General features: G+C 38.4%; 1 protein-coding gene across 5 annotated transcripts in view; it reads left to right on the top strand.

Moving 5' to 3' along the window:
- Positions 1-14,667, top strand: part of FCHSD2 (FCH and double SH3 domains 2) — a 305,574-nt gene that overhangs the window by 210,445 nt on the left and 80,462 nt on the right. For all 5 annotated transcript variants that reach the window (NM_014824.3, XM_011545409.2, XM_011545410.3 and 2 more), the window contains one exon: positions 9,924-10,046. In NM_014824.3, coding sequence (NP_055639.2) covers positions 9,924-10,046 — 123 coding nt within the window. The remainder of the gene's footprint in view (positions 1-9,923; positions 10,047-14,667) is intronic.

Here is a 14,667-nt window from a genome sequence, read left to right as displayed (position 1 = left end):
TGTGAAGAATATACGCATAGCCCTGATCTTGTCTGTCTGTGCAATTCTATTTGACAGATGTTTGTTGGATACTGTTATGCAAGATGTAAGAAGAGTTTTTTGTGTTTTTGAGACAGGGTCTTGCTCTGTCACCCAGACTAGAATGCAGTGGTGCGATCTCTGTTCACTGCAACCTCCACCTCCCGGGTCCAAGCAATTCTCCTAACTCAACCTCCCAAGTAGCTGGGATTACAGATGCCTGCCACTGCGCCCGGCTAATTTTTGTATTTTTAGTAGAGATGGGGTTTCACCATCTTGGCCAGGCTGGTCTTGAACTCCTGACCTTGTGATCCACCTGCCTTGGCCTCCCAAAGTGCTGGGATTACAGGCGTGAGCCACCATGCCTGGCCAGAAGAGTTTTTAAAACTTAGAAATTATTTTTTAAATTAATTTTTAAAATTTTTATTTTATTTAAAAAAAAAATTTAAGGCTGGGCATGGTGGCTCACACCTGTAGTCCCAGCACTTTAGGAGGCTGAGGCAGATGGATCACTTGAGGTCAGGAGCTTGAGACCAGCCTGACCAACATGGTGAAACCTCATCTCTACTAAAAAAAAAAAAAAACCCACAAAAATTAGTTGTGCATGGTGGTGCAAGCCTGTAATCCCAGCTATTCAGGAGGCTGAGCCAGGAGAATCACTTGAACCCGGGAGGCAGAGGTTGCAGTGAGCCTGATCGCACCACTACACTCCAGCCTAGGTGACACAGCGCGACTCCTTTTCAAAAAAAAAAAAAAAAATTTAATTATTGTGGGTATATAGTAGGTATATATATATATATATATTTGTGAGGCACATGAGATGTTTTGATACAGGCATGCAATGTGAAATAAGCACATCATGGGGAGTAGGGTATCCATCCCCTCAAGCATTTGTCATTTGAGTTACAAACAATCCAATTACACTCTTAAGATATTTTAAAATGTACAATTATTATTGACTATAGTCACCCTATTGTGCTATCAAATAGTAGGTCTTATTCTATTTTTTTGTACCCATTAGCCATCCCTACCTCCTCCTCAACCCCTACTACCCTTTAAAAATTAAAAAATCATGTCAGTCTGAATAATTACATTTTGTTTTGTTTTGTTTTTGAGACAGAGTCTCGCCCTGTCACCCAGGCTGGAGTGCAGTGGCACGATTTTGGCTTACTGTAGCCTCCCTCCCAGGTTCTAGCAATTCTTATGCCTCAGGCTCCCAAATAATTGGGACTACGGATGGGCACCACCACGCCCAGCTAATTTTTGTATTTTTGGTAGAGACGGGGTTTCACCTTGTTGGTGAGGCTGGTCACAAACTCTTGTCCTCAGGTGATCCTCCTGATCCCAAAGTGCTGGGATTACAGGTGTGAGCCACCGCACCCAGCCAATTACATTGTTGAAGTCAAAGAAAATATAGAGATGAATCTCTAAATTAAAAATGTTTTATTTGGAAAACAAGAATTGCATTTTGGGACAGATTGGGTGATCTTCAGTATGTACAAAGAACAAAGAGAAGGTTGGCACTAGTAAAGTTTTGAGGAGCTGGCAAGCTGTGATTGGTGACAGCAGTGGGTAGTTAGTCTTAGAGTCACAACAGATTGTTTCGGCAGCTATTAGATAATACTGGTTTCAGGTTACCACAGGCAGTTTCAGCAGCGGGCTTGCAGAGAATTACATTCATGGAGCAACATTATATGCCCTAAGTGCTTTTTCCTCCTGGCCCCTCAATTGATTTAGTTGGATATGACAAGAATGACCCAATTTTTATAATCAACTTTCACAACATATTATTTTTTTCATCATAATAAAGGTGACCCAATTAAGATAAATGCCTCATTCTCTACTTCACTCTCAAAATGTTTCTTTGGTGCTTTCCCTCTTACACAACTGGAGTCTGCTTTTGTAGCTCAGACCCTTCTCAGTTTGATTCATTTCAATAATCATTTATTAGAGGCCTCTGCTAAGGGTAGGATAAAGGGAAGAAAGTGCTGCCTGTTCTCAAGGAATTAAGGGTCTTTTGGGAAAATCTGACATGTATATAAATGGTTTCAATATAGTGTTTTAAATACTGTGATGGGGAGTTTGTAAAAATTGTTTTCAAGCTCTTTGGTTCTATTTTTGGGACAATTTTTATTCTGATCGTTGGCTTTTTAATCAAAGTCTATATAAATATTTATGCAATCTGCCTTCTAATCACAAACCATGTTGAGACAGTACTACCCAGAATTGCTTTGAACTTCATTTCTAGATGCCATCATTGGTTCAGACAATTGCAATTTAAGGCAGGGGGCTGGAGCAAATCATAGGGTTATCATCCACTTCCCGTGCTTTGAATTCCAACTGTTTCTTAATTTTTGTATCTCCTGCATTAACTCTATGCACACTAGCAATAATCCACCCAGGCCAGAAGGCCTCCAGCTATCTTACCCACCAGAAAATGAGTTCATGTGCAGGTTAATGAGTATCACAGCCTTGCAGAGGTGGTAATTAAAATTCAGGGAATTCTGGGTGTTGGATAGCTGAAAAAGATATTTTAAGATTAATCTCCATTGAAAGTGGCTTCTATTCCTCAGGGATCTAGAACTAGAAATACCATTTGACCTAGCCATCCCATTACTGGGTATATACCCAAAGGATTATAAATCATGCTGCTATAAAGACACACGCACACGTATGTTTATAGCGGCATTATTCACAATAGCAAAGACTTGGAACCAACCTAAATGTCCAACAATGATAGACTGGATTAAGAAAATGTGGCACATATACACCATGGAATACTATCCAGCCATAAAAAATGATGAGTTCATGTCCTTTGTAGGGACATGGATGAAGCTGGAAACCACCATTCTCAGCAAACTATCGCAAGGACAAAAAACCAAACACCGCATGTTCTCACTCATAGGTGGGAATTGAACAATGAGAACACATGGACACAGGAAGGGGAACATCACACATCGGGGACTGTTGTGGGGTGGGGGACGGGGGGAGGGATAGCATTAGGAGATATACCTAATGCTAAATGACGAGTTACTGGGTGCAGCACACCAACATGGCACATGTATACATATGTAACAAACCTGCACGTTGTGCACATGTACCCTAAAACTTAAAGTATAATAATAATAAAATAAAAAAAAGAAAGTGGCTTCTGATCACTTGGGCCTCCTCTCACCTACTTAAATAAGATTCAATCCATGATTGGCAATAATACCCATACAGCACATAGAAGAATATTGTGAAAACGCTAAGGAAGAGCTAGTTGAGTCAGTTTTGTAAAGCACTTGGAACTCAGTAAGCCGTTAGTAAATGTCAGTTGCCTGTGTTAACCATCATTATCATTTAAGTATTTAAGTGGAAGAGAAGGGGGGAAGGACATTCTAGGCCAAGAGAATAACTTATTTGGGAACATGAAAGTGAATGTCATTTTCCAAAATGACTCAGTATAGTTGGGAAGTAGAGTATAATGCAGAGAACAGTGATGAGAGATGGTGCTAATGAGAGAGAGTTATGTTGGGACCAGATTGTAAAGAATCTTCAATGCCTGCTAAAGAATTTCTACTTTGCAAAATATACAGTGGGAGCCATTGAAAAAAATTTTGTGGAATTTTTTTTCCCTAATATGTTATTCAGGTTTTCTTTATGCTTTTTTATGAAAAATTTCCAACATACACTGAAGGAAAAAAAAAAGGCAGTATAATGACCCCCACGTACTCATTATCCAGCTTTAACCATTATCAATATGTGGCCAATGCATTGATGATTTTAAAGCAAGGCAAGAAAGACTAACATTATACCACATCCTTTACCTTTATCCTTTATCTTCACTATGTCCTGTGGAGTATGTGGTACTCCCACTTTCCCTAATTATAAATGAGAAAATCATTAACATGATAAAGTAAGTAAAAGCTCTGGGATTCTAACCCACATCCAACTGATTTCAGAGCTCAAGGTCATTCCTGTCTTGCATCTAAAGTAGAGCGTGATTCCCCGTTGAAAACAGCTGCTGATCCATCTACAGTAACAGTACCTATTGGTGCTCTTGACCCTATTCAGGATGGTAGGCTTCTCTGCCTGCAGCCACTCTCCTTCCAGAGGGTCACCAGAATCTAAGTCCACATAAATGCTCAACCTAGTCAGCTAAAGTAACTGTGCAGTTCAGTAGTTTTCAAAGTATGGTCCCAGGCCAGTGGCAAGTTGTTAGAAAATGCAGACTCTTAGGGCCCATCTTCAGCCTGCTGAATCAGAGACTCTGGGTGGGGCCCAACAATTTGTGTTACTGTTTTTTTAATCAGACTTTATTGTTTAGAGCAGTTTTAGTTCCACAGCAAAATTGAACAGAAGGTACAGAGATTTCCCTTACACTCCCTTCCCCTACATACAATTCCTCCCACTATCAACATCCCCCATCAGAGTGGCACATTTGTTGCAATTGATGAACCTACACTGACACCATCATCATCACCCCAAATTCACAGTTTACATTAGGGCTCATTCTTTGTATTGTACATTCTCAGTTTAGACAAATGTATAATGATATGTATCCACCATTGTAGTATCATACAGAATGGCCTCACTGCCCTGAAACAATCTGTGCTTTTATAAGCTCTGAAGTGATTCTCAGGCATGCTTAAAGTTGAGAACATCTGGTTTAGTTAGACCTTAGAAAATGGAAGGCAGCTCGTATCTGAAGGATCTTCCTTACCCTTAAAGGCTTACAGGGTTTTTTGCCTACCCGGAAAAGAAGAGAGGGCAAGACTGAAATACATTTGTTTTGTGCTTGTGAATTGTTAAGATAGTAAAAACTAGGATTTATTACTATTAAGTAGGGATTTGCCTTTTTAAAAAGAGTGGTTCAAATCCCTGTTGGAAGTAAATCCTTTTCATATAAGTAGTTAGGTACTACTAGTGCACCAAGTCGCCATTTTTTTCACTCTTTTATGTTAAATAATGCACATCTGTATAATTCTGGCTGACATTCTTCCAACTTAAGTGAAGAAAGATGCTTCTACATCTAAATTCAAAACTATCAACAAAAGTTCAGTATTTCTAATCAAGCTCCTTTTGTTACGGGATCTCTGGGGTGCCAGTTTTTCTGGCTAGAAACCTCTGTGGCCATGGTGCCTTTGCCCAAGTTCTTGTCCTGTGTCCTGGAAGTATGCGGTAGGCAGACAAGTGAAGGGTAAAGAAGAATTTTATTTACTGTTAAAACAGCTCAGAGGAGTGAGTAGCTCCTCTCTGTAGGCATATCGTCCCTTGGAGTGTTCAGCTCTCAGCAGAGAGGAGGCCCTGGAGAGGGTGGCTTTTGTCCACAGGCAAGTCATTGGGATGTCTCTGCAGGTCTCTGAAGCTCCCCTCTCTGCTGGCAAGTTGTCTCTGCAGCTCTCAATGGAGAGAGTACTCCTCTCTGCAGCTGGCCATCCCATCGTCTCCAGCTATTAGCAGAGAGAATACTCCTCTCTGCAACTGGTCATGCCATCCTCTCTCTACCCTATTCCTCCTCTGGCCATCCTCTGCTCTGCTCTGTCTGAGCCCAGGGCTTTTATGGACCTCAGAATGGAGGAAGTGTGTGTGGATTGGTCTATGGGCAGCCATGGGAAGGCCCAGAAGAGGCACCACCAGTCCCCACTCTAGTCTGCTGGACTGGCAGTCCAGCCCCCAGTCTTCAGGCCCTCCCTGGCCTGAAGGTGGGGCCTTACTGGGAACCCACCCTCTTCTGCCCAGGACTCTGCCTCCCATTGCTATTCAGGGCCCTGGGGCTCAGCCCCAACCCCACTAATCTGAGTGGGCTCCAGGAGAAGAGAGAGGCCAAGCAGCGGGAACAGATATCCCCAAGCCAGCAGGGACAGGGGCAGGGGGCCCTTCCCGGCCCTCCCCCAGGAGCACAGGGAGGCTTGGATCCACAGCTGCAGATTGGTCAGCTGTAGCCAGTCCCAGGAGGGTGGGGCTCCTGCCTGCTCCGTAGACCAGGAGGCCAGGGTCTGTAGGTGCAGTTTGAGCGACTGCAGTGGTACCTGGGCAGCTCCCGTCCCAACTCAGAAGGGGCAGGGCTCTGTAGCCACTGGCTCCATGGAGTGTGCAACCCCAGCAATGCTTCCCTGCTCTAGCCGGCATGATGGCAGCAGCCACTGCCATCACTTTGGTAAGGCTTTGGCAGCCATTTCGATAATCGTGTCTACTGGTGGACCCTGGGATACGTGCGTCAGTTATTATCTCATGATGAGATAATATATGTTTTATTGCTGAAGTGAAATACACCGTGGCAACAAATTCCTTCTTGAATGTCTTTATGAAGTGTTTAGAAATTTATTTGTTTGTTTGTTTGTTTTAAAGATAGGGTCTCGCTCTGTTGCCCAGGCTGGGGTGCAGTGGCACGATCATAGATCACTGCAGATTCAAACTCCTGGGCTCAAACAGTCTTCCTGCCTCAGCCTCCCAAGTAGCTGAGATCATAGGCACAAGTCACTGTACCCAGCTGGAATTTTTAAAGTAGGATTTAAGAAGCTGAGTGAATGTATAATTCCTGATTTGTAATATACTTCTATCAAAATTAAAAGTACAATGCCTTTAGTAAGAAATATCTATAATCAGAAATGATCCTGATTATGGTAAGGTCAAAAACAGAAGTACCAGCAGAACTTTGATTTTCTTTTCTTCAACTTTTCTCCTCCCTCTCACTTGCACCCATACAGCTAGCACAGAGCCTAGGCACAGTGGGTACTGTTTATATTGTACTGAGATAATAGAAACTGTGTGGGTATATGGTTCACCTTAAAATCCATGCCTTATTTTTTTTTGAGCTCATGATGCCTGTATTACCATTTGCTGAACTCAAAATACTCCAATGGTTTCCTGCCAAAATGTAATCATGTTATGATTGTCCACCAAGACCATTTCTAAGGTAGAAACCTTACATCAGAAGATGTTATATGTTTCTTTTTCTAAACAAGTTCAGGAAAAGTATGTCCTGATACAGGAAATTTATTCAGACTTAACACCAGCAGTGTCTCTGGTTATGTTACATAATTACATGGAAATCATAGTAATAATATTTGCAGTGCCTAAATTTGAAGTGCTCAATGGTGTCATCTAGTGGTGTAAGCACTATAGAAGGTGCAGCTTTATTACTCAGTGCTTTTGGGACAGAATTTGTGTATTTAAAAAAAAAAAAAAAAAGTTTAATGGAACAGCCAAACATAAGATACAATGGAAGACTTCCATTGAGGATTCTTAGATATAGTACCAACACAGAAGCAACAAAAGAAAAATAGCTGGGTGGGGCGTGGTGGCTCATGTCTGTAATCCCAGCACTTTGGGAGGCCAAGGTGGGCGGATCACGAGATCAGGAGATCGAGACCATCCTGGCTAACACGGTGAAACCCCGTCTCTACTGAAAATACAAAAAAAAAAAAAAGCCGGGTGTGGTGGCGGGCACCTGTAGTCCCAGCTACTCGGGAGGCTGCGGCAGGAGAATGGCATGAACCCAGGAGGCAGAGCTTGCAGTGAGCCGAGATCATGCCACTGCACTCCAGCCTGGGCAATAGAGCAAGACTCTGTCTCAAAAAAAAGAAAGAAAAATAGCTAAATTAGACTGCATCAAAATTTAAAACTTGTAAGCCAGATGCAGTGGTGAGTGCCTGTGGTCCCAGCTATTTAGGAGGCTGAGACAGGCGGATTACTGGAACCCAGAAGTTTGAGTCCAGCCTGGGAAACATGACAAGACCTTATCACTTTTTTTAAAAAAGTAAAACTTTTGTACATCAAAAGAAACTTTCAAGAAAGTGAAAAGACAGCCCACAAAATGGGAGAAAATATTTGCAAATCATACATATTGTAAGAATCTAGTATCCAGAATATATAAAGGATTCTTACAACCCAACAACAAAAAGACAACTTTATTTATTTATTTATTTTCTGAGACTGAGTCTTGCTCTGTCACGCAGAGCTGTATTTCAATAGCACAAACTCGGCTTACTGCAACCTCCACCTCCTGGGTACAAGCAGTTCTCCTGCCTCAGCCTGCCAAGTAGCTGGGATTACAGGCAGACGCCACTACATCAGCTAATTTTTGTATTTTTAGTAGAGACGGGGTTTCACCATTTTGGCCAGGCTGGTCTCGAACTCCTGATCTCTTGATCCGCCCACCTCAGCCTCTCAAAGTGCTGGGATTACAGGCGTGACCCACCACACCCAACCTGACAACCTAATTTAAAAATGAGTTAAGGACTTGAGTAGGCTTTTCACCAAAGAAGATATACAAATGGCCAAATAAGCACATGAAAAGTTGCTCAACATAGTCATTAGAGAAATGCAAATCAAAACTACAAAGATATACCGTTCCTAATCACTAATATGGCTTTCATAATTTAAAAAAAAAATACCAAAATACAAAAGAATAAGTGTTGGCAAGGGTGTGGAGAATTTGAACCCTCATACATTGCTAGTAGAAAGGTAAAATGTTGCAGTCACTGGAAAACAGTTTGACAGTTCCTCAAAATTAAACATAGAGTTATCATATGACCGAGCAATTCCATTCCTGGGTATATTCCCAAGAGAAATGGAAACAGGTGCTCAAACAAAACCTTGTACACAAATGTTCATAGCAGCATTATTTATTTATTTTTTAACTTTGCAGCATTATTTATAATAGTCAAAAAATGGGGAAAAGGCAAATTTATATCACCTGATTAATAAACAAAATGTGGTACAACTGAATATTATTAAGCTGTAAAAAGGAATGAAGTACTGATAAATCAATGAGCCTTGAAAATATTATGCTGGGCAACAGAAGCCAGGCACCAAAAGTCATATATTATATGATTTGATTTATATGAAATATCCAGAGTAGGCAAATCCATAGAGGTAGAAAGCAGACTAGTGGTTGCCAGGGGCTGGGGGAAGGAAGGGATGGAGAATGACCACTTAACAGGTACAGTGTTTTTGGAGAAGTGGTGGAAATGTTCTGGAATTAGATAATGGAAATTGTTAAACAACTTTGTCAGTGTACTAAAAGCCACTGAGTTGTACACTTTAAAATTATTAAAATGGTGACTTATATTGGGTGAATTTTACCTCAATTTTTACCTCTACTGATTGGCAAGACTTCAGAACCTTGATTATTATTAATTATTATTATTATATTTTTCCATAGTTATTGCTAGTGTATATGTCATATGTATATTCTGTTTTTTTAACCTAAAATTATTTGATACATACTTGTCATCTATACAGTTTCCACGGTTTTTATTTTGGTGACAGTACACATCATAGCTTAATCATTCCTCAAATGTTCAGTGATTTTCTCTCCTTTTTTTTTATTTCAAAGATCCCTGTTACAAAATGTTTAAGGAAATAAGAATGTTTCCAACCCTTCATAGATATTACACTGGGTTTTCTTCCCCAAAGCAGTATCTCTGAGTCACTTTTCTTTTTTTAATATTTCTATTGTGTTTTTTCTGTCACTGCTGTTCAGTAAATATACATATACCAATGTATAATCCTACCAATAATGGATTGGGGGAAAACGGAGATTATTGTAGAGTGTCTACTCTTTTCCAGGCACTGCACCTGCATCCTTTCACGTTTATTATTTCACTTAACTCCTACACCTAAGCAGATGAGCAAAGATCAGAACCCACGCATTTTGTCTCTAAGTTGTGTCCTGTTTTCCCACAGCTTTACCAATATTGGATCTTACCTCTTTTAGTTCCTGTTTATTAGAGAGATTCAACATTTTCTCAAGTGATTGTTAACTGTTCATATTTACTTACAATCTGTATCTTTTGTCCATTTATTATTAATAATAAATTTTAAACTGAACATACCTACTTTTCTCATAGGCAGAAGATATCATATGTCAAGGCTTTACTGTAATTTTTTTTCTTTTATTTACTCCTCTATTACAGGCTCTTGATGGAAATGTGTATGATCATCTCAAGGATTATTTAATAGCCTTCAGCCGGACTGAGCTAGAAACATGCCAAGCTGTGCAGAACACATTCCAGTTTTTATTAGAAAACTCCAGCAAGGTAAGTTACCTTTAGTGCAACGTGTAGTGTTATCCAACTTAGAAGCTAAAGTATTTCTGCATACAAAGAAAATGAAGGTACTAGTGATATTAGAAGAATGCATTAACGAACAAATTTCCTGGTAACAGCATTCCTTCTAACAAAGTTGGAGGAGATTCTGTTCTCCTTGTTGATGAGTTGAAGATGGCACCAAGGGCAAAAAGAGAGGTGCTGATACAAGGTAGCTTAGAACATTGGCCCATTGCCATGTGCATTGCCTTTGAGAAGGGTTTAAACAGTTTTGTATTCTACTCAGAGTTTAAATGCACTCTGCTCACATGGGGGAAACAACAGGTCATGTGTCAGTACAAAGAGTACTAAAAGAGCACGAAGGGAAAAGGAGCGTTTTGTAATTGATATAAAAACAACAGTGTCTTGGGTTTTTTTCAAATTAAGCCCTACTATCTATATGCTGTCATTCTTTGACAGCAGTCGTTTCATTTAAAAGTGTTGAGATCCATCAGGTTTGCTGACATGTCACATTGTATGCAGAGAAAATAAATGCAATGACTTTTCTTCAAGATTTGATAGATTAAAATGTTTTGCAGTCGTGAAACTATCCTTTGGAAGATAAATTGTTCCTGTGGTTGGCAAATGTTTTTTATCTGATAAATTAAATTCACAATAAATGTTTCCTGACTAAAGGAATGCATTTTTTAAAAATACGCATTTCATAACTGCTACTTTAAAAGATCCAGTTCAATTTTTTTTTTTTGTCAGGGAGAGTGAGAACTGGCTAATACTTTTAGGAGAGGGATCAGGATATCCATTTTCACATGACAGTGTCCAAAGACAGGAAAGAAAAGCACAGACTCTTCATCCTGAATGCCTCTTGTATATATATTCTTGTTTTCACTGTACCAGAGCTCTCAATTCTGTGTTTATAAAAGTGTTAAAAATGCTAGGTTGATACGGAAATACAAAAATCACTAGCCTGGTGCTTTGAAGTCCTGTCATGTATCTGTTTTCCTATATTGTCATCCCCCAAAATCTAAGAGAAAAGGAAAATGTAGTAAAACATTAATTGAGGAATCTATGTAGTATGTATATAAGTATTTACTGTATAATTTGTTTGATTTTAATGTATATATATTTGAATTTTTCAGAAAAGAATGTTGGGGGAAAAGTCTATGAAAAAATCTTATCTTTGTTCCTTCTATGAAGTGGTTGATTTTTGAGTGAACAATTTTGTTGTTGTTGTTGTTATTTTTAGTAGAGACAAGGTTTCAACATGTTGATCAGGCTGGTCTTGAAGTCCTGGCCTCAAGTGGTCCACCCGCCTTGCCTCTCAAAGTGCTGGGATTACAGGCATGAGCCACCATGCCCAGCCGTGATCAAATTTTTTATGTTTATTTGTCCATTTAGATTTTCTGTCTCTTTTTCAGTATATTTGGGTAACTTACATTTTCCTGGACAATTGTCCATTTCATTAAAATGTCCAATTTTCCTAGGCAGTTGTCCATTTCATTTATCAGATTTGATGTCATAAACTTGTTTGCTTCTAGAATTGTCTCTGTTTTTGTTTTTAATATTGTGTGTGCCCTCTGTCTTATTTTGACCAGACTTGCCAGTCTATTTTATTAATCTTTGCCAAGAACCAGATAAAATGACCTTTATTCTGCTTCTCAGTGTTGTGTCTATTTCCTTAATTTTTGCCTTTATATTCATTATTTCTACTGTCTTACAGTTTATGTTATTGTTCTTTCTCAAGCTTCTTTTTCTATTTAGATCCTATATTTTCAGTCTTTCTTGTTTTTAAGTAAATTTGTTTAAAGCTTTTAAAAAAGTGTCTTTCTGCTTGAACTGCATTCTGTGATATGTAGGGCTTTTGTTTTATATCTATTTTTTTCTCCTTATTAACCCATGATTATTTAGAAATGAGTTTTTCAGTTTCCATTCAGTTGGAATATGTGGTAGGGTGACATTTTTATTTCTAATTTTATTATAAATTGTATTTTTAATCCAACGACATTTATTCTAATTTTATTATAAATTGTATTTTTAATCCAACGACATTTATTCTAATTTTATCAGAGAGGTTATCTTCTAGCAAAATTCTTTGAAATGTTTTTTTCCAAGAATAAGTTGGACTGGAGACACTACCCTTAGTTTATAAAACAGGAAACATTATAGTCGTAACAGATAGCTAATATTTTACACACACTTAACAATTTCTTAAGACTTTTAGCATGGGATATATCTTGAATCCCATGAGGTCGCCATTACCATGTTCATTTTATATGGAGGAAATTGGACTCAGAAGTTTATGTGGCTTGGCCTGAGGTTACACACTCACACATAGTGCTTTCCATGATCTTCTACTATATTCTCTTTAGCTTGTATTATTTTAATAGAAAATGAATTAAGAATTTATGAACTAGTTTGGACACATAAAGAGATAAGCTTTCATTTTCTGCATTCACTCATATGAGTATCTCACTCCCCAGAAATGAGGAATAAATGAGATGCTCTTACATTTAAATTGAAAGTGGTAGGAATAAAAATTTAATAAGAATAATGTAGTGCCCTTTTGTTCCAAGTACCAGAAGAGGCCTACAAGTTTTATGCCATGTGTTTTTCTGTTATGAAGAGCTTGTTATGCTGCTCTTGCTATGCTGCTGAAAGCAACCTAAAGGGAAGTTTGACACTTTTTAGATTTTTTTTATTTTATATTATTATTACCATGTTCAAAATGTGACATATCCCCAAAGATATTTTGGTGGTAATTCATCCAACATACTGTAAATGTTAAAGTGCTTCCTATATCATTCATCCCCTAAATGGAAACAGATGGCCCTAGGAGCTTTTGTTAAACTTTAATTATTTATGAAGCTTGCTTTTCTTCTTAATATTTTATGAAATGCTTTGTATATGTAACTGAAGCAGATGTTGTCATAGGTATTTTCTCTAGGATAGTAACTCTGAAGGTAGCTCTACTGGCCTTTATAATTTGTTTGTGTGTGCTTGCTTTTTGTCTCCATAAGGAAATGCCTTCCAATTAATAACAAAGTTCATTTAAGAATTCAGAAAAATAAATTTAAAAAAAGAATTCAGAAAATAACAATGTTATTCTACATTTATTTGAAAATTAATTTGTCTAGTGTTACTGTTCTTAATACTTCGAAGTCTAACCAAAAAAAGTAGATAAAAGGAAGGAAAAAACTTCATGATCATTTCAATAGACACAGAAAAAGATTTGACAAAATTCAGTACTTTTTTGTGATAAACACTCAGCAAACTAGAATAGAAGGGAACTTACATAACATGATAGCATCAACCAATGTCATATTCAATAATGAAAGACTGAAATCTTCCTCTGCTAACATCAGGAACAAAACAAGGATACCCATTTTCACCACCGCTATTAACCATTGTACTGGAAGTCCTAGACAGGGCAATTCGGTAAGAAAAAGAAATAAAAGGCAGCCAAATTGAAAAAGAAGAATTAAAATTACCTCTCTTTGCAGATGACATGATTATATTTATAAACTCTCAGAGAGCCCATTAAAAAAACTAATAGAGCTAATAAATTTAGCAACATATAAGATAAAAACACAAAAATCAGTTGCATCTCTATATTCCATCAATGAATGATCCAAAAAGAAGGTTAAGAAAATAATTCCAACTACAATAATACTCAGAGAATAAACTATCTAGGAATAAACTTAACCAAAGGAGTTAAAGGCCTGTACACTGAAAACTATAAAACATTGCTGAAAGAAATAAAAGATATAAATAAATGCATATAATAAATGTTCATGGATTGGGAGATTTCATGTTGCTAATATTGTAATATTCCCCAAAGTGATCTACAGATTCAATGTAGTCCCTATCAAAATTCCAATGGCCTTTTTTGCAGAAATGGAAAAGCCGGTCCTCAATTTTTTTTTTTTTTTAATTTGAGACAAGGTCTCACTCTGTCACCCAGGCTAGAGTGCAATGGCATGAGCTCAGCTCACTGCAACCTCCACCTCCCAGGTTCAAGCGATTCTCCTGCCTCAGCATCCCAAGTAGCTAGAATTACAGGCATATGCCACCACGCCTGGCTAATTTGTTTGTATTTTTAGTCAAGACGGGGTTTCGTCATGTTAGCCAGGCTAGTCTTGAACTCCTGACGTCAAGTGATCCGCCTGCCTTGGCCTCCCAAAGTGCTGGGATTACAGGCGTCAGCCACTGCACTCGGCCCAGTCTTCGAATTAATATGGAACTACAAGGGACCATGAATAGTTTAAACAATATTGAAAAGGAAAAATAAAGTTGGAGGACTCACACTTCCCAATTTCATAACTTACTATAAAGTTACAGTAGTAAAGATAGCGTGGTATGGACATAAGTATAGACATATAGACCAATGAAACAGAATTGAGAGTTCAGAAATAAACCTGAACATCTATGGTCAATTGATTTGCAACAAAGGTGCCATGACTATTCAATAGAGAAAGAATATTCTCTTCAGAAAAAGGTTTTGGGACAGCTGGATAGCCACATGCAAAAGAATGAAGTTCAAGCCAGGTGTGATGGCTCACGCCTGTAATCCCAACACTTTGAGAGGCCGAGATGGGTGGATCATGAGATCAGGAGT

Source organism: Homo sapiens, chromosome 11 (genome assembly GCF_000001405.40).
Source record: "Homo sapiens chromosome 11, GRCh38.p14 Primary Assembly".
In the NCBI taxonomy this organism is placed as follows: Eukaryota; Metazoa; Chordata; class Mammalia; order Primates; family Hominidae; genus Homo; species Homo sapiens.
This window is presented reverse-complemented; position numbering and strand designations above follow the sequence as displayed.